This window comes from Homo sapiens, chromosome Y (genome assembly GCF_000001405.40).
Source record: "Homo sapiens chromosome Y, GRCh38.p14 Primary Assembly".
NCBI lineage: Eukaryota > Metazoa > Chordata > Mammalia > Primates > Hominidae > Homo > Homo sapiens.
This window is the reverse complement of record NC_000024.10, coordinates 12,701,231-12,726,271: the sequence shown is the minus strand read 5'-3', so window position 1 is coordinate 12,726,271 and position 25,041 is coordinate 12,701,231. Positions and strand designations below refer to the sequence as shown.

The window sequence follows — 25,041 nt, the reverse complement described above, 5'->3', positions numbered from 1 at the left end:
TTGTACTTTAGAGGAAACCTTTAAAGTTTTGTTATCAACATCTCAACTCAAAAGTCACATATTTTCAAAATTTCAATTTCCACCCCTACAAAAAAGTTATAGGTCAATTCAGAGCTGCTGGCATATGCATGCCATGGTCATTTGTGGAAAATGTCTAAGTTGTATTTTTTAGGTTGAGGTCATCAAAAAGTATATATTTGATTCATAACTTTTGGTTAACTGCATTTTCTAAAAAAGAACCAGAGGCCTGAAGTATGTACAGTAATTCAGTAAAGATACTTTAGTTTTTGTCATTTTTAAAATCTCTGAAATATGAAGGTATCTTATAATAGAATCAAGATAGTTGGCAGACTGCAATATATACCTAGGTACTAGATTTGCAATATTACCTGAGATTACTTGTGTTTCCTTTTACCTGTCACTTGAAGATACTGCTAATCTGAGAATGTATTAAATTCTATTTGACTTTTTTGGCATCAAAACTCTAAGTATGAATTCGTATCACAAAATTGTGTGAATACTGGTTTCTGGTCTAAATTTCCAAGACAGGGGGTCTTCTTTCTCTACCAATCTTCTTTCTTTCATTCTCTGCACATTACATAACTGACTTTAGAACTATTATACTCTGGAAAATAGTTTCTTTGCTTTACATTTGTGCATAGTGAGTTTCTTTACCATTTACATTTGCACTGAAATTATATCCTTTGTTATCCCAGCTACATTGAGAGTCTGCTTAAGTATTTTTGACCTCAAGTGCTACAAAATAGTAGTGCCTCTTCCAATCAATACTATCTTGCATTTGATGAAATACACTGTGTTGTGTGTAAGGTTACAAGGTTGTTGAAATTTCAGGGGACAGGTTAAACAAAGGTTTACTAAATCAAAACCGCAAGCTCATTCTTAAAGACCATGCTAACCTTCAATTATGCAGTATATATCAGCAGACTTGATATGTTAATATGTTACGCACAGAAGTATTTTTCAAAAACAAATCCACAGGAATCACCATGTAAATCTGAGTCCCAGAAATGAAATACAAGACTCACATGAATTTCAAACTTCCAGCCACTCACAGCCTCATCCATAAGAATTTTAGTGAAAGATATTGTTAGTCCATCTCGAAAAAAACGTTGGCATGCTTCACTTTTAACATCAAGGCCTAAAAAACGAGCCAAACAAAGAATGTTTAAAAAAAATTATTTGGCCAATTATGATTAAACATAGTAAATTGCTAGAAACTATTATGGTCTCCAATTCACAAATAGTGTTGTGGCTTTTGAAATGAGACATGACATTATAAAATGTTAAAAAGGTGAAAAAACATGGGATTTCAGAAAAAGGAAGGAAATATAATATTCAGGAAATTTTAGAAACAGTTGTATAAACTACATCAAATCAAGTAATGTAACTCAATGAAACAGCTTGAAAATATGACATCAGAAAAAGAATGTTCACTAGTAGACAGGGAATTGAACCATTTCATAGAATTTTAATTACTGAAATACAGTAAAAAATCTGTGAAAATTAAAAAGTGACAATTAAAAAATCTGATTTTTCCCGGTAAATTGCCCATTTATCATCAAATTTAAGAGGCAAATCTTAAGTTTCTTTTTTCTTTTTACCTTTACCTGATTTAAGAAAAGCAAGATCCATGTGCCTCTATCAAAAAATAAAACTTACAAGTGTTTTCTGTTGAAGAGTCTTGCTCTATTTCCCAGACTGAAGTACAGTGGCACAACCTCAGCTCACTGCAATCTCCACTTCCCAGGTTTAAAAAATTCTCCTGCCTCAGCCTTCAAGTAGCTGGGATTATAGGCATGCACCACCATGCCTGGCTACTTTTTGTAGTTTTTGTACAGACAGGGTTTTGCCATATTGGCCAGGCTGGTCTCAAACACCTGACCTCAGGTGATCTTCCCACCTTGGCCTCCCACAGTGCTGGGATTACAGGGATTACAGGATCACTGCACCCAGCCAGAAAACCTGTAACTCTTAAAGCAACTCAAAACATATTAAATATGTACAAGGAGATATATTTTGATTTGAATTATATACATACTACTCTATCATTTAAACTAGTTTTATCTTACAGTAATCACGATCTCAGAATAACAGAGGAAAAGTCCCTGCAAATGACATACATCCACTGAATATCAATGCTATGAAATGAAATACCATTTCCAGTTTTTGTTCATTTTGTAGTGTTAGACCCTAGAACATACCTAGTACAGAAGTCCTTGACATTTGCTCAATTAATAAATATGCAATTAACAAAAGAAATTTAAATGAGGAGAAATATTTTCAATCTGGTAAAATATTTTCAGAGGTCACTAGATCACATATTGGTAAGATCAGTAAAACAACATAACAGTCGTTAAATGACAGTAGGATAGTTATTAGTTAAATGAAATTATCAATACCACCACAGAGTCAGACTCGGCAACAGAAACACTTTACAGGATACCAAAGGAATTAAAAATTTGTCTAACAACACTGACAGTTAAGTTCCTGCTGAATGACACAAAAATTAAATACTTCTGACCCTTCTTACAGCTTTCAAGTCCTTAAAAAAATACACAGTATTCACCGGGGGCGCTGGCTCACGCCTGTAATCCCAGCACTTTGGGAGGCCGAGGTGGGCGGATCATGAGGTCAGGAGATAAAGACCATCCTGGCTAACACTGTGAAACCCCGTCTCTACTAAAAATACAAAAAATTAGCCAGGCATGGTGGTGGGCGCCTGTAGTCCCAGCTACCGGGAGGCTGAGGCAGGAGAATGGCATGAACCAGGAGGCGAAGCTTGCAGTGAGCCAAGATCGCCCTACTGCACTCCAGCCTGGGAGACAGAGTGAAACTCTGTCTCAAAAAAAAAAAAAATAAAATAAAATAAAATATAATAAAATAAAATAAAAATAAAATAATACAAAATATTACAAAAATGGCTCATCCATGAATTTTATTGCACCTATTATTACAACAAAATCATCCAAAATGCTTCATTCAAACCCAAAGCTTTTACTTGTGGCTGAGAGTAAAAATATCAAATTTTCTTCATAGGTTGCTTTTTTTTTTTATATTAAGGCTTCATCTTTTAAGACGTTTTTCTTTTTAAGAAAAACGCTTCAACTCTGTGTTAAGAAGAAAAAAAAGCTAAATATGTAAGCTAGACAGTTTACTAAACATATACACTCAATATTAGTGAAATAGTGATTTGCATGTAAAAAACAAATAGATGGGGCTGGCCGGGTGTGGTGGCTCATTGCTGTAATCCCAGCTACTTGGGGGGCTGAGGCTAGAGAATCACTTGAACCTAGGAGGCGGAGGTTGCAGTGAGCTGATATCACGCCACTGACTCCAGCCTGGGTGACAAAGTAAGAATCTATCTCAAAAAAATAAAATAAAATAAATAAAAATAATTGGCAAAATTATTTACAAATTAACATACTTCTCAATCACAAATTAACATATTTCTCAATCACATGTGACTTAAGTGTAAAAAGGTCACCAAATATATATGATGTCATACAATAAACCCTCTATGCAGCACTTTGTAAACTGTAAAATATGCTTTAATGCACATTACTTCATATAGCAGACTTTAGAACTATCATATTCTGGAAAATATTTTCTTGGTCCGCAGTCTGATGCTCTAACCCTGAGCTATATCCCCTCCTCATATTCTGGAAAATATTTTCTAACTTCTGGATAACAATCTTTTTAAAAATTTAAAAAATATATATTCTCACCTTAGAAATATGGTTGTACACATAAAATTATACATAATACTTAAATGGCTCCAGGTATCCCTAAAGGCTATCTAAAGATTTCTATGAACCTTTACTATAGGGAAGTATGTATATTTGTCTGTGTGTGTGTATATATATATATGTGTGTGTGTGTGTGTGTAATAAGTATATATAATATGCATGTATATATGTAAAATAATCCTTACCAGGAAGGTTTGTGACACATTATAAACTAGGAATAAACAGTACCTTTATAACAGAGGGATGAAAAGCCTTTAAGAACAAGGTGTAAGTATATATAGGAGCACGTATTATAGAAAATGTACATCCACACTCACCTTTTACACTAAGATCAATAGCAGCTTCTAAAAGCACTTCTAATTCCCCTTTTGGCAAAACAGGAACCACCCATCGAGGCCTAAGGATTATTATAAAACAAAAAGAGGCTTTACTGGTTTCATAGTAAAGGAACACTATAAATAAGTTACCTACCATAGTTACTGTTACTATGAAAAAGTGAGAAATTCTGCCTATATTATATTCACCATATAGACTTCTAAAAAGAAGTAGGCAAATTATCTACATTGGAAAACTAAGAGACATCTATTGTGTCTATATACTGAATTTTTTTAGGCACTGTCAAATGAGATATAGCAATGGCAGGGAATTCTTTTAATAGCTTCTCTAGAATACTAAAACTAACCTATACAATTATCAATTAAATGTATACCTTTTATTAGTAGGAAAACGCTCTTTGGGGGCTCATATTTATTAGTGAAAGGACACACTGTGGCAAGTGTTTTGTTTTACTCCTCTTCACAAAGACAAAAGAAATTAGATCTCAACAAAACATTTATCTCACCTTTTCCTAAAGATCACGTCTCAGGTGTGGGCCTCTAAACCTACTGTCATACGTACATTCCCATATCAAAAGGCAATACAGAAAGCCACTATGCCATCTTAAGTACACTCCCACATTAAAAAGTGATGCAAAGGGCACCACACACTCACCTGGTACATTCCTTACTTTTGTAAAAAGTTCAGCTTTCTGCAACTATGTCTACTGACAAACCCACTACTCCCCAGAAATAACTTTCTTTCACCTGTCCCTTAATCCCTGTACTAAGAAACAGCAAAATTCCCAAATATCTCTTTTCGTTTTTAAAAAGATGCCTCAATACATATAATCTATTAAAGGTAAACTGATTCTATCCTTTTTGTTGCTTTTATATATACAAAAAAAAAAATCTTTTCTGTCTGCCACTAAGGATTTACTAACAGTTTCAGTTCTCTAGTCCTTATGAAAAATACACTCTAACAGAAATCAGCAACCGCTAAACAAAACAGAGAAAGAAGCAATACAACCTTCTGCAATAAGGTCTCTGCTGTAGCAAATGGACATTCCACAAGTGAGAAAAGTTCTCCAGAACTCTGGTATAAAGTTCTTATCAAAGAGAAATGTTTGTAAACATTCAAAACAAAATACCTACCTATTTGTCTAGGCTAGAAACACAGGAAGGGTTCATAAAGCATCATTAATCTGAAACTGTATTCATATTGTCATTACCTTCCAATATTTAAAATCCATAAGAAATGCCTGCATTAAGTACAATGAGCTGCAAAGTGTTCAGCTAGGACTAAAATGTTCAGGCTATTAAAATAGTAAGACTTGAGACACTACAATCTACTCTTTTCTTTTTCTCATTTACTACTAGTTGCAATGCTGGAAGTAGTTTTGCTTTTCTAGTTTACTGCATCCATTAATAAAACAAATCCAAACAAATGCACCTGTTGATCATGTCATCCAGGTTTGCCAGCTCAGTATGTGGAAATGCAGGCTCTTCATCTTCATGCTGTGGTGGGGCATCACCTTGCCCTTGTTCCTCTGGAGGAGGAGTTGCTACGGAATTCTCATTGGAAGAATCAGGTGATGAAGTCTTAATTAAAAATTAAATATTCCAAATTTAAACCACAGATTAAGGAAAAATATCTATTTTTAAGTATCCATATATATGCCCAAATATTTAATAAAACTAGGGTCACAATGTTTATCTTTTTAAAATTTAATTTGGTTAATACAGAAGTATTTTCCCTCATGATTAAGAATCTTTTTTGGGGTGGGGGATGGAGTCTCACTCTGTCTCACCCGGGCTGGAGTGCAGTGGTGCAATCTCGGCTCACTGTAACTAACCTCTGCCTCCTGGGTTCAAGCAATTCTCCTGCCTCAGCCTCCTGAGTAGCTGTGATTACAGGCACCCGCCACCACACCCGGCTAATTTTTTGTATTTTTAGTAGAGACAGGGTTTCACCGTATTGTTCAGGCTGGTCTGGAACTCCTGACCTCAGGTGATCCACCCACCTCCGCTTCCCAAAGTGCTGGGATTACAGGCGTGAGCCACCGCACCCGGCCAATTAAGAATCTTAAAAATTAACTAATGGCGGCCGGGTGTGGTGGCTCACACCTGTAATTTCAGCTCTTTGGGAGGACAAGGCGGGCAGATCATGAGGTCAGGAGATTGAGACCATCCTAGCTAACATGGTGAAACCCTGTCTCTACTAAAATTACAAAAACAAAAACGGATATGGTGGCGGGCGCCTGTAGTCCCAACTATTTCGGAGGCTGAGGCGGGAGAATGGCTTAAACCCGGGAGGCGGAGCTTGCAGTGAGCCGAGATCACGCCACTGCACTCCAGCCTGGGTGAAAGAGTGAGACTATGTCTCAAAAAAAAAAAAAAAAACAAATTTAATGGCAACACATTACTGCATGAGTTGACTAAGTAAAAATTAGAGGATATGTTTTTGTCATGTTTACTGTTAATAAATACATTCATAATAAACCTTATGAATTATCTCCTTAAGGATAGGATACTGAAGTAATGACTAACTAAACAAGATAAACTATTCCTTTTAAGGCTATATTCCCAAACTACATTATCAAAGATAACACTAATCTTCACCCTCACATGCACCTTTGTGTTTACAGTGTCTTCATCAATTTAGGTTCTAATAATTTAGTTTGACTATATACTACATAAATTCTGTACAAACCTACTTTTTTAAACTTAGATTATAGATTATAATTATAGATTCACAATCTGTTCCAAAAAAACTCTTCGTTCCTTAATAATAACCAATAGTTTAGACACAAAAATTCCTAACTAGGGATTACAGGTTCCTATTGCTGTTACTCTTCTTCTTCCTCAGTTTCCCTTGAGAGAGACAAATAAGAAAAGGCAATGAAGCTGGATTCCTCAAAACATCAAGAATTAACACCTCATAATTAAAGAGATTAAAATATTTAACTTAAGCAACACATAAATGTCTTCCTTACAAATACCAATTATGTTTTAGGAAGATGAAATTGAAAAGTATGTCTGGAAGAGGACTGTATAGAATTGACCTCATTTCTTAAATGTTTAATAGAACTTTCCTATGTTTTCTTTATTGCAAGATTTTAAAACTGTAATATCAGTTTCTGTACTCAGAACCATTATACTGGTGGTTACAAGTCTGTACTCAGAAACTGAAATTATAGTTATTTATTTCTTTTTCAGTCTTTCAGTCACCCAACTGTCCTTCAACAGGCAAATGGACAAACTAGTACATTTATGCAATAAAATACTACTCAGCAATTGACAGGAAAAAACTTTTGTTGCATGTAACAATATGGAAGAATACTAAATGCATAATGCAAAATCTCGAAAGATTAAGTCAGCATGATTTAGAAAAGACAAACTATGCGGTATGGTAGCTCACATCCGTAATACCAGCATTTTGGGAGGTGAAGATGGGAGGACTGATTAAACCCAGGAGTTTGAGACCAGCCTGGACAACATAGGGAGACCCTATCTCTAGTTAAGGAAACAAAAGAAAAAGAAAAAGGCAAAACATACAAATGAAGAGCAGATCAGCAGTTGCCAGGAACTGAAAATGGAAGACTTAAATATACAAGGGCAGTGCAAATAAATTTTTGTATTTTACATGTTCATTATACTGCTGGTTACAGTCTTTCATTTGTCAAACCCAATACCTGTATATTATGCATACATTATGTATAAACCAAGTGACGTTTACTGTCTGTAGCCAAACAAATAGAAATTTAAAAAGCAAGAGAAACAAAAAGCACATGCACGTGGGTTTCAACTTCCAAGTCAGATGTGATACTTAGCAACAGATTACTGCATCTGCCTATAACTGAGAAGTGGCTAAAATTAGTTGCTTGCTTAAAAAACTGCAGAAGCTACCTGGGTAAGAAAAACGGAATACTCCAGAAACATATAGACAAGATAACTGCGATTAATGATTTCATTCCAATACAATTCTGCCTACAGTGGATATGGGCAGCAGGCTCAAAACTAGCTCAAAATCCACTGCAGATGCAGGTGGAAAATCACGGAAAGTGTGGAAAGTCACAGAAAGTGTGGGAAGATGAGCTTCAGCATAACTTTAACACATTATTTACAAGGCTTGAAGCAGAAAGTTTGATTTCCTATCAGGATATAGGAAATCAGGATTTCCTATCAGGATATTATGCCATAGTTGGGAATAATAAAACCTAATGGTGGCCTCCAAAGAAGAGAGTGAAACATTTCACCATTGTTTCACTGAAACAATGGGAAGAGCCCCACTATGGTCTACTGAAAAGGAAGAACAAAATAGAAGACCACTGAATCTTACCTATCTCTGATTCAACAGTCTCTAAGCTTGAATTAACCAACCCCATTCTGGCCAGTGAGAAAATAGTTATATTCTCTAAAATGGAAAGGTAATAATAATGTAAGTAAACTTTCAGATTAATGATGTCATATGAACATAACCCTTAGGTGTGTTTCTGGCCTAGAACGTACAGATAGGGATACTTTGGAAATGACAATGTGATTTGTGAGTCTAGGTCATGAAAGGTATCATGGCTTTTTCTTCCCTCTCTTTTAGGTCAATTTCTCTGGCAGAGGTTAACTGCCATGTCTGAAGTCACTCAGGCAGCCCTACGAGGGGATCCGCATGGTTAAGAAACAGGCCTCTACCCAACCGCCATGTGAGGAAACCATTGTGGAAATGGACCCACCACAGTCACAGTCAAGCCTATCCATACATATCTATGATAAAGTTAAAGTTCATAAATCAGGCACAGTAAGAGATTAACAACAATAATTAATAATTTTTCCATGGATGGAGCCAGTTGAGGGGTGGGAGGGTTCAGGATGAAACCTGTGATCATGAGATACTAGATTTCTCATAAGGAGCACGCAACCTACATCCCTCACATGCATAGTTCACAGTAAGGTTCATGCTCCTATGAGAATCTAATGCTGCCATTGATCTGACAGGAGTTGGGGCTCAGATGGTAATGCTCGCTCACCAGCCTGATGCTCACCTTCTGCTGTACGACCTGCTTCCTAACAGGCCACAGTGTGGTACTGGTCCGACCTGGGGACTAGGGATTCCTGCTCTACATACACAACAGTAGCAGAATACACATTCTTTGCAAGGGCACATGGAACATGCATCAGGATACGTAATGCCACAAAACAAATCTTAACAAATATAGGAAGACTTAACTCATAAAAAGTTTCTTTTCAGATCAGGATACAATTAAAGTAGAAATCAATAGCAGAAGAGGCCGGGCGTGGGGGCTCACGCCTGTAATCCCAGCACTTTGGGAGGCCGAGGCAGGCAGATCATGAGGTCGGGAGATCAAGACCATCCTGGCTAACACGGTGATACCCCGTTGTCTACTAAAAATACAAAAACAAAATTAGCCGGGCGTGGTGGCATGCATCTGTAGTCCCAGCTACTTGGGAGGCTAAGGCAGGAGAATGGCGTGAACCCAGGAGGCGGAGCTTCCAGTGAGCTGAGATGACACCACTGCACTCCAGCCTGGGCAACAGAGCGAGACTCCGCCTCAAAAATAGAAAAAGAAAGCAATAGCAGAAGAAAAACTGAAAAATTCATAAATAAGTAGAATTTAAACAATACATCTTAAATGGCCCATCCATCAAAGAGGAGAAATCCTATAGAAACTATATAATATGTGAGGCAAATGAAAATGAAAAAATGCCAAATTTATGGGATAGAGCAGAACCAGTGCTGAGGAAACCTTATAAAGTACTTTAAAAAAAGATCTCAAATCAACAACCAAATTTGCACCTTAAAGAACTAAAAGAATAACAAAATACATCCATGCTCCACAAAACATTTCATTCAAGATGAACTAAATATACAATGGTCATCTCATAATATTGCAATAGTCCATTTTTACTAAATTTTTTCTGTTTAGAACTTACCATTGTATTACAATTGCCTACCATATTCAACTCATGCTAACAGGTTAGTAGCCTAGGGCAATAACTGGCCTACATGTGTAGTAGGTTATACCATCCAGGTTTGTGTAAGCACACTATGATGTTTGCAAGACAGTGAAATCACCTGACAATGCATTTCTCAGAACATATGCCTTCATTAAGTGACACATTAAAGCAAAAGCGAGCACAGATGTAAGCAAAATAGAGACTAGAAAAACAACTAAGAAAAACCAATGAAATCAAAATTCTGTTCCTGAAAAAAATAAAGAGCTGCTAAACCTTTAGCTAGATTGACTAAGAAAAAGAGAAGAGTCAAATAATTAATATTAAAAATAAAAGAGGCATTAATGAATTTTATACAAAAAAGTTAAGGATTATCAGTGCATCCTATAAACCACTGTATCTCAGCAAACTGCATGACCTGGATAAAAGGACAAATTCCCAGAGGCATACAATCTACGCCAAGAACAAGTTATAAAGAAATAGACAATCTGAGTAGATCTTAAACCTCTGTGGCAACCAGTCCCAAGGTATGATAACCTAAACTGTAATTAAAGAATTATTGAAGGCTCATGGTGGGAAGTATGCAATGCAAGTTAAAAACCACTAAGAGGCTGGGCGTGGTGGCTCACTTGTGTAATCCCAACACTTTGGGAGGCTGAAGTGGGTGGATCATGACGTCAGGAGTTCAAGAGCAGCCTGGCCAAGATGGTAAAACTCCATCTCTACTAAAAATACAAAAATAAGCTAGGGGTGGTGGTGCTTGTATTCCCAGCTACTCAGGAAGCTGAGGCAGAGAATTGCTTGAACCTGGGAGGCGGTGGTTGCAGTGAGCCGACATCGCACCACTGCACCACAGCCTGGGAAACGCAGCGAGACTCCCTCTCAAAAAAAAAAAAAACTACTAAGAAGCCAAATTTTATGGGAATGAACAATTTTTTTTTTAACCTTTCCCTGAAAAGATAAGAAAAAAGTCCCTTGAGCTTCTCGGAGGGAAAGATGCAAAGTAGCCATTTTGAAATACATAAGGACATTCTGTTCTGTTAAAAGAAAGCCCTCAAGAGAAACTAGTTTATACTACTGAGGTTTTTTAATGACTAAGAGACCTAAAGGAAAAAAAATACTCAACTCTAGCCTGCTACAGCATTCTACATGGTAGAACTAAAAACTCCAATTCCAGCTCCCTATACCCATCATGTTCCATCTAAGCCACAGCCCAAAGGCCACAGGCTCACTACGACATTGAGACTTAATCGTAAGATTACAGATTGCTTCCCCTACCCGAATACCTTACCAGTAGTACATTACTAGAGCCCATCTGCCAAAGTTCCTTTCTACATAGTACTTAATGTGCATCTCTGAAGAAAAAATTACAATGCATACTAAAAGACAAAAAAACTGTTTGAAGAGACAGAGCAAGCATCAAATTCATACTCAGATGTAACAGGAATGTTAGATTTAACAGATGGAGGCCGGACGCAGTGACTCAAGCCTGTAATGCCAGCACTTTGGGAGGCGATTGCAGGTGGGTAGCTTGAATCCAGGAGTTCAAGACTTGGCTGGGCAACATGGTAAAACCCCATCTCTACAAAAAAAAAAAAAAAAAAACACAAAAATCAGCCAGGCGTGGTAGCACATGCCTGTAGTCTCAGCTACTTGGGAGGCTGACATGGGAGAATAGCTTCAGCACACGAGGGAGAGACTGTGGTGAGCCAAGATCCCGCCACCGCACTCCAGCCTGGGAAACACAGTGATAGCCTGTCTCCAAATAAAAAGATTTATCAGATGGAAATATAACTACCATTAATGCACTAAGGGCTCTAATGAATAAAGTAGATGACATGAGAAGGTAGTTAATGTAAGCAAAGAGAGAGAAATTCTAAAAAAGATTCAAGGTAATACAGTATAGATCAAAAACACTGCAACAGGAATGAAGAATGCCTTCATTCCTGTGCATTTTAATGATGCACTCGTTAAAAAATTAGACTTTGAACACTGAAGAGCAGAGAAAAATAGGCTGAAAATTAAAAAAAAAAAATTGGCCTGGCACGATGGCTGTAATCTCAGCACTTTGGGAGGATGAGGTGGGCGGATCATGAAGTCAGGAGCTTGAGACCAGCCTGACCAACATGGTGAAACCCTGTCTCTACTAAAAATACAAAAATTAGCCAGGCGTGGTGACACGTGCCTGTAATCCCAGCTACTCAGGAGGCTGAGGCCGGAGAATCGCTTCAACCTGGGAGGTGGAGGTTGCAGTGAGCCGAGATCACACCACTGCACTCCAGCCTGGGTGACAGAGCGAGACTCCGCCTCCAAAAAAAAAAAAAAAAAAGAAGCAATTATAACTAAAAAAGTCCCCAAATTAGTGCCATACAATAAACAAGAGATTCAGGAAGCTCAGAGAATTCCAAGCTAGATAAATGCCAAAAAAAAAACAAAAACAAAAAAAAGAGTACATCTAGAAATACATTCAAATTGCAGAAGATGAAAAATAAAAAGTTTGAAACATGCTACAGGCAAACATCTTACCTATAAGCAAAGCAATGATTAGAATTACACTGGGTTTGGTCTAAGAAATCATATAAGCAAGAGACTGGAATAAAATATCTATAAGTGTTGAGAGAAAACAACTACCTATCTAGAATTCTGTATTCTGCAAAAGTATACTTAAAAAGTGGAGAAATAGAAACTTGCTCAGACAAAAGTTAAGAGAATTTGTTGTCAATGTATCTGCTCTGCAAGTTTTTCTGAGAGTAGAAAAATGATATACAACAGAAACATCTTCAAAAGAAAAGCATTCTGTAAGTAATGCATGAAGGTAACATAAAAACTCTTCTTTTTATCTTAAATGATCTAAGACATAATGGTTTCTTTAAAATAAAATTAGCAGCTGGGCACAGTGGCTTTTGTCTGTAATACCAGTGACTTGGGAGGGCTCAAGTGGGAGGGTTGCTTGAGTCCAGGAGTTTGAGACTAGCCTGGGAAACATAGTGAGAGCCTCTACAAAAGTTAAAAAAAAAAAAAAAAAAAAGCCAGATATGTTGGTGCATGCCTGTAGTCCTAGCTACCTTGGAGGCTGAGGTGGGAACAACACTTGATCCCAGGAGTTCAACACTACTGTAAGCTAAAATCATGTTACTGCATTCTAGCCTGGGTTGACAGTGATGCCTGTCTCAAAAAATAATAAAATAAATTAAAATAGCATTAACAACAACGTATTCAATGATTACAGCTTACGTAAAAATGAAATGAAAGACAGCAATGATACAAGAACAGGAGGAAACAATTACAGATATTTTGTTATGATAGTACATGTACTCCACTTTGGAAAGTGGACTTACGGATTTGGTATAAATGCATATTGCAAATTCTAGGGCAATCACTAAAAAATTTAAAAATAAAAAATAAAAGCCTATGATTAATAAGCTTAGAAAAGAAAAAAATATATAGAATGTTCAATTACAACCACAAAAGGCAGAAAAAATGGACACAGTAACAAACAATAAGGGTAACAAATGGAGAATAATAACAAATAGTGTAGTTACTAACACAACTATATCAATAATCACCTTCAATATCAATGGCCTAAATATACCTATTAAAAGATTATCAGAGTAGATCAAAAAACAAAAGTCAACTATATGCTGTCCATAGGAAACCCACTTTAAATATAAAGATGTAGATTAGAATTAAAGGAATGAAGAAAAACATACCAAGCTAATACTAATCAAAACAAAGGAAAATTAGCTATACTAACTTCACAAAGTGAACTTCAGTGAAGGAAAATTATCAGGAATAAACAACAACATTATATATGTGGTCAATTCAAAAAGCTGGAAATATCTTTAATGTATATGCTCCTAACAATATGGCCCCATAATATGTGAGGCAAAAAGTGATATAAATGCAAGCAGGACTAGATTGATCCATTAAGATAGTTTGAGAGTTCAACACTTTTCCATGAGAAATGGACAGATTCAGCAGACTATATCAGTAGAAACATAAAAAACTAAACAGCGTCATCCATCAACTGGATCTAACTGATATCTCTAGATTATTTCCCCCACAACAGTGAGTATACCTTCTTCCTAAGTGCACTGGGAACATTCACCAAGATAACCCGCCCAGTGGCCATAAAGCTCACCTTAATAAATTTAAAATAAAAATAATAAAACACATGCTTTCAGGCCACAATAGCATTAAACCAGAACTCACTAAAAGACAGTTGTAAAATCCTAAAATATTTCGTTACTAACACACTTCTAAATAACGTGAGTTATTTAGAAAGAAAGAGAAAGGGCTGGTCACAGTGGCTCATGCCTGTAATCCCAGCACTTTGGGAGGCTGAGGCAGGTGGATCACAAGGGTCAGGAGTTCGAGAACAGCCTGACCAACATGGTGAAACCCCATCTCTACTAAAAATACAAAAATTAGGTGTGGTGTCGCACACCTGTGATCCCAGCTATTCAGGAGGCTGAGGCAGGAGAATTGCTTGAACCCAGCAGGCAGCGGTTTCAGTAAGCCAAGATCAAGCCACTGCACTGCAGCCTGGGTAACACAGCAAGACTCAGTCTAAAACAGAAAAATAAAAGACAGAGAGAAAGAAAGCTCAAGAGAAATAAAAATAAAATTTGTACAAAGTGAAAATCCAACTTAAAATTTGTGGAATACAGCAAAAGCACAACTAAGACAAAAATTTATACCATTGAATGCATATATTAAAAAGAAACTCTTAAATCAATAATCAAAGCTTCCATTAAAAAAAAAAAACTATCAAGAAGTACAAATTCCAAAGTAAGCAGAAAAAAACTACAGCAGGAATGAAAATGACAAGAAATTAACAGAAAAATCAGCAAAACCATACACACTGGTTCTTTGAAAACATCAATAAACCTCTAGCCAGACTAAGAAAAAAGAAGACACAAATTATTAATTACAGAATTGAAACAAGGGACATATAATACAGATGCCATACTCATTAAGGGATCCCCAAGCCTCAGGTCACAGACGGTACCAGTCCGTGTCCTGTTAAGAACCAGGCTGCACAGCAGAAGGTGAGTGTCAGGTGAGCCAGCATTAGCACCTGAGCCCCAACTCCTGCCACATGAGCAGACACATTAGAATGTCACAGGAGCCTGAACCCTATTGTAAACTGAATCAATGTGAGGGATCTAGGGTGCATGCTCCTTATGAGAATCTAACTAATGCCTGATGTTCTGAGGTGGAACAGTTTCATCCCAAAACCATTTTACATCCCCCCATCGATGGAAAAATTGTCTTCCACAAAAGCAGTTGCTGGTCCTAAAAGGGTTGGGGCTGCTGCATTGAAGGATAATAAAGGAATACTATGAACAGCTCTACACCTACCAGAAATTCCTTTAAAGACATAATCTGCCAAAACTCAGAAAAGAAACAGATCATTTGAATTGGCAATATTTTCTAAATAAACAGTCAATAAATAACAATCTTCTGAAACAGAAAGCACAATGCCCAGAAAGGCTCAGTGGTAAATTCTCTCAAATATATCAATTCTCTACCGTTTTTTTCCACCAGATGGAAGCAAAGGGAATACTTTCTTTCTAGGCCATTCTATGAGGTCAGCATTACCCTCACATCAACAACCAAATATATTGCACGAAAACTAGACCAATATATCATAAACATAAATCCAAATATCAACAAAATACTACTTCAAGGAACTAGAAAATGAACAGCAAACAAAACCTAAAGAAAGCAAAAGAATGAATCTTAGAAAAAGGAAAAAAAAACACACAAATGGGAATTAAAAAGCCAAAACCCTGAAAACATTAGCTCAATGCAATTAATGAATCACCCTAGGAAAAAAGCCAAGAAAAAGTAAAGGCAAATTACTAACATTAGAAGCTTCATGTATCTTACAAAAAAATCTAACAGTATAGTAAAAGAAGTAATTATTTCCAAATAGGTCAGCACAGAACTTTGATATTAAATCTATGTTAAACCTTTTAGAAATATTATTTCACTTATCCTTGTTTTATAGATATGAAAACTGAGGCTTAGGTATTATAGCAGTTAGAGTCATAAGATAATCTTATAAAGTGGGGTTTGAATATAAATAGCTGCCTGAAGTCTGTGCTTATAACTAAGGTTACAGGGACTAATTTAATACTTTTGCCCTCAGATTCACATGGGACCTTAGATACAGAAAAACACAGGGCTACATTCTCAACCATGTACAGTAATCAAGGTTTCCTTTCACTAAATGCCAGAGTCACTTTTTTTTCTTTTCTTTTTTTTTTTGAGACAGGGTCTCATTCTATCACCCAGACTGGAGTGCAGTGCCTCGATCATAGCTCACTGCAGTCTTGACCTCCCAGGCTCAGGTGATGCTCTTGCGTCAGCCTCCCAGGTAGATGGGACTATCTGCATGTGCTACCATGCCCAGCTAATTTTTGTATGGGAGACAGGGTTTCACCATGTTGCCCAAGCTGCTGTTGAACTCCTGGGCTAAAGCAATTCTCTCTTCAGCCTCTGAAAATGCTGGGATTACAAGTATGAGCTACCACACTTAGCCCACAGTCACTTTTTTCACGTGTAACTTAAAATAACCACATATTTTATGATTACTTTACAAATCATTCAGGACATGTTTCACAATTTTGTATTTCACAGTACTCAAAACAACACAGTCTTACTCCTACCTGGTTCTGTTGGAAGAGATGCTGAGACTGGCCATCAAGAACCTGGCCCTGGCTGTCGTTCCCTCCTACTGGAGAGCCATGAGTGATGGCTGTCATACTTGACACAGCACAGATCTTTGCTCTTTTTTCTTTTTTTTGTCTCTTTATGTAGTTATCCTAAGGGAAGAAATTATAGTCCACATATAGAAGATGAAGTACCAGCATATATCAGCCTTAAAAATTTCCAATTCAAGGACAAAACATCTTGCAGAGACCATTTCATAACCTAAAAGGAAAAAAGGTACCACTGTCTTACATATTAAAAAGACCAGTAAGAGTCTGGGCATGGTGGTGCATGCCTGTAATCTCGGCACTTTGAGAGGCCAAGGCGGGTGGATCACCTGAGATCAGGAGTTTGCAACTAGCCTGACTAACAGTGGTGAAACCCCATCTCTAATATAAAATACAGCTGGGTGTGGTGATGCCTGCCAGTAATCTGGGCTACTTGGGAGGCTGAGACAGGAGAATCGCTTGTACCTGGGAGGCAGACTTTGCAGTGAGCCGAGATGGTGCCATTGCACTCCAGCCTGCCTGGGCAACAAGAACAAAACTCTGTCTCCAAAAAACAACAAAAAAAGATGAATAAGAAATTATTACAATTTTAATATGTACACTAAAATCACCAGTCTTTACAGTTAATAACAGAGGATTATAAAAATGAGAGAAATAAAAAGCTAAATGTGTATTTACAGTTTTACTTCCCTTAAGAAATTCACACTATTGTACAAGCAGTTATGCCAGGAAACATGCCATATATTATATAACATTCCAGAAAAATAAGTAAGCTTCTTGGTTGTCATTTTTAACTTACAGAAGAATCTGTGAAAGGCCTATCAATTGCTGCCTTATATATACTGTGAAAATTTAATACCTAAACATAAGGAAACTAGTATTAGATTTTTACAAAGAATTCAAGACAATGCACAGTCAACACATCATTGTATCAGAGCGTTATAAATGGCTTTTAAGATAATTTTTTAAGTGATTTAAATATAAAATTTAAAACTTTCGGGTAACTTCTTTGGAAAGGGTTTAAATTATACCATATTTCTCCAAAACCATCAAATCTGTCAAGTGAGCTCACGTTTCCACTTTGACAAGTCTTTTTTCCCAAGGTCCTTTTTAATAGTCCTTCAGGAGAATCAACAGTATATTCAAAGAATCTTAACAGGACTAGAGGACACAGAAATTTACTGGTTAGGGTTCACTGCAATCTGATAGGAGTATGGGAAAACGCCACCAAATCCTTTACATTCCATATTCATTAGTCCAGTGGTTTTCATACTAAATTGCAAATTAGCATTTCCTGAAGTACTTCTAGAGGACTGCTAATGTCCAAGTTCCAGCCTAGACCAAACAGCAAAACATCTGAGACCTAATAATCAGCACTTCTTTAAAATCTCCAAGCTTAATCTGATGTGTCACTGATTGAGAACTAGGTTTGTTTCCATAAAAATTAAAACTTGAGGCTGGGTGCGGTGGCTCACGCCTGTAATCCCAGCACTTTGGAAGGCCGAGGCGGGCGGATCACGAGGTCAGTAGATCGAGGCCATCTTGGGTAACATGGTAAAACCCTGTCTCTACTAAAAATATAAAAAATTAGCTGGGCATGGTGACAGGCACCTGTTGTCCCAGCTGCTCAGGAGGCTGAGGCAGGAGGATGGTGTGAACCTGGGAGACAGAGCTTGCAGTGAGCTGAGATCACACAACTGCACTCTAGTCTGGGCGACAGAGTGAGACTCCACCTCAAAAAAAAAAAAAAAGAAAAAAATTAAAACTTGAAATCAAAGCAAGGTAGAAAAGAATAATCAGTGATATCTATGTGTCCAAAACACACTGCCAAGAAAAAAGAGAGAGAGAGAAACAGAGTAAGGCACAGTATATAAAAAACTAAAGTAAAACAAATCAAATAAACAAAAAACCACACATGACCAATACATATGTGTATAACAAATTTAAGAACAGCACTTTTTAGAAGTCAGACACTATGTGAAACACTTAATTTCACTCAGCAAATCCATTTAGTAGTTGTTATTAACCACCTTCACAGGTAAGTAGAAACAGAGAGTAAAAAAAAGTAAATTGCTGGGCCAGGCGTGGTGGCTCACACCTGTAATCCCAGCACTTTGGGAAGCCGAGGCGGGCGGATCACCAGATGTTGGGAGTTTACGACCAGCCTGACCAACATGGAGAAACCCTGTCTCTACTAAAAATACAAAATTAGCTGGGCATGGTGGCGCATGGCTGTAATCCAGCTATTTGGGAGGCTGAGGAAGAAGAATTGCTTGAACCCAGGAGGCAGAGGTTGCGGTGAGCCGAGATTGCGCCATTGCACTCCCACCTGGGCAACAAGAGCGAAACTCGATCTCAAAAACAAACAAACAAACAAAAAAGTTAATTGCTCAAATCAGTACTTAGTGGAAAAAGGGATTCTAACATAGGAAGTCTGCCATGATTAAACCGCTACACACATACCCTTTCAATCTCATTAATAATCAAGACAAAACGTTATAACAATGCAATACTATTCTGTTTTTCCTGACCATATTCATCAAAAAAAAACTAAAGACTGGTAACTAAACATTTAAGTCAGACATAGATTGTTCTTTAATAAATAAAATTGAAAACCAAGTTACAAATTAATATTATTCCATAAGGGCAGGATTGAAAAGAAAATGGACAAAAACCAAACGTGAAGTATATACACACATAAATCTACCTCTATATGGTCATCTTATCATATAGTCTTCTCTTTCATTGTTTTTTGATACATAAAAATTCTCATTCAAAATGTTTTATATGAAATAGGTTTTAAAACAAACAAACTAAAAAAACTCCCTCCCTCCCATTTTCTATTTTAGTTCTGCTGCTAATAAAAATGACTTAATAAGTTTTTCCTGCAAGTAAGAAAGAAACCAGCCACTTCACTAAACACTACTTCAAACTTGCTCATGTCTGTTCCTTTTGTCCCTTACCTGGGGGCTCCTGATCCCACATATATGCCCCACTTATGAAAAAAACCTTGCTCTAATCTTCTCTCAATTTTTCTCAGTTTCTTCCTGGATTCACTTTTCTTAGCCTATAAAATATGTTCAAGGCTCCCCTACTGAAAGCCACCCAATATCTGAACTTCTTCTTCCAGAAAATTCTTGAAAAAATGGCAATGTCTTTCCTTTTCCTCATCGATTGCCTTGTATACAAGCTGCTTTAAGTGAGGATGGTGTAAGATCTATGAATGACTTAGGAATTAATAACCAATTGCTCTAAAAGCATATGCAAGCTTTCTGTGGAGTGCATTTTTTTTTAGGGAGGAGAGAGATGAAGCATAGTCCAACATCAATTTACTATGTAAACTCTCTACAGGTCACAAGATCCTATTGCAGTTATAACCAGAAACAAAATACAGAATATATACCAATGAAAATGAAAACAGAATGAAACTACTTATCGCTACCAAAAAATAAATAAACAAAACACAAAAGGCAGTAAAAGAGAAAATAAGCAAAAATCCACAAGAAATACGAGGCAAAAGTAACTAACTGACAATAGTTAATACTTTCCTTTCAGTAAATACTTTAAGTGTAAATGGATTCTCCAATCAAACACATAGATGAGCTGCAAGGATAAAAAAGCAAGTTCAACCTTATCCTTCCCTATAAGAGACTCACAAGAGTCCTACAGTAGACTATGTGATCAAAGAATAACCATAGCTTCAAAGTGAAAAAATGGAGAAGGATATTTCATGCATATAATAACCACATGAGAGCAGAGTTTGTTATATTAATATCACACAAAATAGACTAAATAAAAAAATTCCACAAGAGACAGGGAAAGACACAATCATAAAAAGGTAATTCATTAGGAAGGTAAAAAACTGTAAATATGCAACAAAAAGCAGAGCTCTAAAATATATAAAGCAATATTAACAGATTAAAGGAAAAAATAGATAGCAACAAAATAATAGTACAAAATTTCCCTAACTCACTTTCTACCCAACCAGACAAAAAAAAAAAATCAACAAGGAAATAGAGGATTTCAACAATAAAACAATTAGACATATGCTGAACACTAACCCAACAACAGTAGAGTACACATTCTTTTCAAGTGTATATGGCACATTCCCCAAGACAAACCTCATATCAAATCAAGTATTAATAAGATTAAAATAACAGAAACAACATAAGGTATCTTTTCAGAAAACAATGGGATGAAAATAGAATCAACAGCAGAAAGAAAACTGGAAATCCACAAATGTGTGAAAATTTAACAAAACATTCTGAGCCAATGGGTCAGAAAACATTAAAATGACAATTAGAAAATATATCGAGAAAAACTAAAAATAAAACATACCAAAACTGATGGGACACAGCAAAAGCAATGCTAGAGGAAAAGTTCATAGTTTTAAAGTTTATAAGTTTAATACCTGTAAAATGCTGGCCTTAAATCTGAAATTAACAACCCAACTATAATCTTAAGGGAGAAAAAGAACTAAACCTGAAGCTAACTGAAGAAAGATCATAGCAGAGATAAATAAAATACAGAATAGAAAAAAAAGATCAACCAAATCAAAAGGAGGCTGTTTGAAAGATAAACACAACTGACACCACTACTTACATAAAGAGGAAAAAATAAAACCTCAAATAACTAAAACCAAGGCTGAAAGAAGGGATATACAACCAATGCAAACAGAAAAAAAGAGTCTAAGAAAATACTTTGAACAACTATATGTCATTAAATTAGATAAGCTACAAAAAATGAATGTAAGTTGCTAAAAACACACAATGTACCAAGACTAGATAATGAAGGATTAGAAAATCTGAACAGATTTATAACTAGTAAGGAGGCTGAATCATTAATTAAAAACTTTCCAACCAACAAGTCTGTGATCACATGACTTCACTGAAGAATTACACAAACATCTAAAGAATACGTATCACAAATCCTGAAAGTCTTCCTGAAAAATAAAGAAAACACTCACAAATTGACTTTGGAATAAAGGTAATGCAGGCCTCTTAGACTAAATCTGTGAGTGTTTTCTTTTCCACTTTCTTTTCTACTAAAAAGAAACTACAGACCAATGTTTCTGATAAATATAAATGCAAAAATCTTCAACAAAACACTAGCAAACCAAATTTAGCAGTATCATGAAAAAATTATAATCAGATGGGATTTTTGCAATGCAAAGTTGGTTCAATACATGAATACCAATCAATGTAATATACCCTATCACCAAAAAAAGGAGAAAAACCACATGATCTTTATCTTGATGTAGAAAAAAATATTTAACTAAATTCAACAACCTTGTATTACCATTCAACAAAACAGAACGTAAAAAAAGGTCATATAGCCAGGATGGTCTCGAGCTCCTGACCTTGAAAGGTGAAGCCGGCTGTACTTCCTGGGTCGAATGGGGACTTGGAGAACTTTTCTGTCTAGCTAGAAGATTGTAAATGCACTATTCAGCACTCTGTGTCTAGCTAAAGGATTGTAAATGCACCAATCAGCACTCTATAAAAATGCACCAATGAGCACTCTGTGTCTTGCTAGAGGATTGTAAATGTACCAATCAGCACTCTGTAAAAACATACCAATCACTGCTCTGTGTCTAGCTAGAGGATTGTAAACGCACCAATGAGCACTCTGTAAAACGCACCAATCAGCGCTCTGTATCTAGCTAAAGGATTGTAAACAGACCAATCAGCACTCTGTCAAATGGATCAATCAGCACTCCGTAAAATGAACCAATCAGCAGGACATGGGCAGGGACAAATAAGGGAATAAAAGCTGGCTACACCCAGCCAGCAGCAGCAACCTGCTCAGGTCCCTTTTCATGCTGTGGAAGCTTTGTTCTTTCGCTCTTCACAATAAATCTTGCTGCCACTCACTCTTTGGGTCCACACTACCTTTATAAGCTGTAACACTCACCATGAGGGTCTGCGGCTTCCATCCTGAAGTCAGTGAGACCACGAACCCACTGGGAGGAATAAACAACTCCAGACCCGCCACCTTTAAGAGCTGTAATGCTCACTGCGAAGGCCTACAGCTTAACTCCTAAAGTCAGAGAGACCATGAACCCACTGGAAGGAAGAAACTCCAGACACATCTGAAAATCTGAAGGAACAAACTCCGAACACCATCTTTAAGAGCTATAACACTCACCGCGAGGGTCCGCAGCTTCCTTCTTGAAGTCAGCGAGACCAAGAACCCACAAGAAGGAATAAATTCTGGACACAACCTCACATGTTAAAATCCCATCTCTATTAAAAAAATTTAAAAAATTAGCCAAGCATGGTGGCAGGTGCCTGTAGTCCCAGCTCCTCAGGAGGCTGAGGCAGGATAATGGCGTGAACCTGGAAGGCAGAGCTTGCAGTGGGCCAAGATTGCGCCACTGCACTCCAGCCTGGGTGACAGAGCAAGACTCTGTCAAAAAAAAAAGTCATATAAGACAAAGAGGAGTGCAAGACCTAACTTCATACCAAATGGGAAAAGGCGCAAAGCCTTTCTCTAAGATCTGGAACAAGACAAGGACCCCTCTAATTCAACTTAGTATGGAGAGTCCTAGTCAGAGCAAAGAAAGAAGAGATAGATATAAAATGGCATCCAAATCAGAAAGAAGGGAGTAAAACTGTGCCTATTCAGAGATGACATGATATTACATGTAGAAAAATCTATAGAATTTAATCAAGGAGACCAATGACTTATACTAAAAACAAAAATTTATTGTGGAGGGAAAAATAACTAAAGACAGAAATACAGGCAAAGACCTCTAATGTCCAGGTATTACAAGACTTACTACTGTTATCAGTACTACCCAAAGTGATTTACAGATTCAACACTATCTCCACAATATTGTTTTGCAGACAGAAAAATCCATATTAAATATACCCTCAAGGAACCTCAAGTACTACACACTTCTACTGTTCAAATCAGAACAACAAAAATTTCTCATAATATTTTTCCCAAGCAGGCTACAATAGATAATTCCCTAGGCCTCAACATAGGTACCCTTAGCTTGATAGCCAAGGCTTGCCCCAAACACTGAAACAGGCTTACAGATATATCCTTACAGCAAGGACATACCTCTTGCCAACTGCTAGCAAAGAAATCAGCCCTGCTGTCAGCAATCATGTGAGTAAGCCATTGTGGAAGTGGACATACCAGCCTTCAGATAAATAACTGCTACCCACAAAAACGAAAAGATATGTTTGTTGTTTTAAGCTGTTAAACTGTGAGCTATTTTCTTATGAAGTAAAAGACAAATATCCTGCCCCAGCTTAGTAATTAACTCAGTGACAAAAAAAGAAAAGATTGTATTAGCTGCCCCTCTATCAGACCATGGTAATCTCATAGGTCTCTGACTGTTCAGTTTTATTCCACAAAACATTTCTGTAAACATCTCTTACCCAAACTGCTAAAACTATTGTTTTAATTCTTCAGCTAGCAACTCACCTCCAACACATACTCCACACAGCCACCAGAATTATCTCCAAGCTCTCTGCAAAACAAAAAGCAGATTTCATCATGAATCCTTTCTTTTAAAAGGAAAAAATCTGACTTCAGTGCTTAAAAATAAAATCTCAGTGCCTTAATCTGGTACTTGAAATCACTTATGACCCAGTCTCATTCAAACCAGCTCTTAGTTTCAAGCTCGCTAATTCCCTCCTAAATATCTGGTGTGTCTTCCTCATTCTATTAATAGTATCACATATATCCTTTAAACTGTTTCCCTCCAGTGGAAGTATCTGACCTAATTTATGGAATCACCAAAATACCACAGTTTTTAAGACCAGCAAACAGTATTCTACCTCAAACTATGATTTTCTTCACCTCTTCTACTATTCCACATTTGAGACATGTATTTTAATACAGCAGTTATCATACTGTATAAATAAGTACCTATTTAGCCACTAGAACTAGAGCCTTAAAAGTGGAGACTAACCATTTTTACATCATGAGTAAATGAATACAATTCATAAGCTGCCCAGTAATGACTAAGTCCACGTCTACCACTTTACAATTTCAGTGAGTTAAACAATCTGCTAATTGGTAGAAAAGCTACAATGGCAAATCTAAGTTTCTTAACTAACATCACAACTCTGTTAATCACTACACTCTCTCAGTCAGTCAGAAATGCTGCTGATACACAAGGGTCAGTTTCACCTCTGAGCCCAGAAAAGTCTTTCCACACCATCTATAAAAACATTGTTTCATTAGGTTTTATAATGGAATTACCACTGCAAAAATATGGAGAAATAAACAAAGTTCAATTATTCA

General features: G+C 36.8%; 1 protein-coding gene across 3 annotated transcripts in view; it reads right to left on the bottom strand.

Moving 5' to 3' along the window:
• USP9Y (ubiquitin specific peptidase 9 Y-linked) overlaps positions 1 to 25,041 on the bottom strand; it is a 159,609-nt gene extending 134,568 nt beyond the window's left edge. Inside the window, exons 1-6 of one of the 3 annotated variants that reach the window (NM_004654.4) lie at positions 24,217 to 25,041; positions 17,579 to 17,638; positions 16,729 to 16,884; positions 5,535 to 5,683; positions 4,085 to 4,164; positions 1,047 to 1,159 (exon numbers count right to left, since the gene is read on the bottom strand). In NM_004654.4, the coding sequence (NP_004645.2) occupies positions 1,047 to 1,159; positions 4,085 to 4,164; positions 5,535 to 5,683; positions 16,729 to 16,824 (438 nt within the window). In that variant the 5' untranslated portion in view covers positions 16,825 to 16,884; positions 17,579 to 17,638; positions 24,217 to 25,041. Of the gene's footprint in view, positions 1 to 1,046; positions 1,160 to 4,084; positions 4,165 to 5,534; positions 5,684 to 11,482; positions 11,634 to 16,728; positions 16,885 to 17,578; positions 17,639 to 18,390; positions 18,420 to 24,216 lie in introns of those variants that run through there. The other 2 variants (XM_047442772.1, XM_047442771.1) reach the window with 2 other exon arrangements.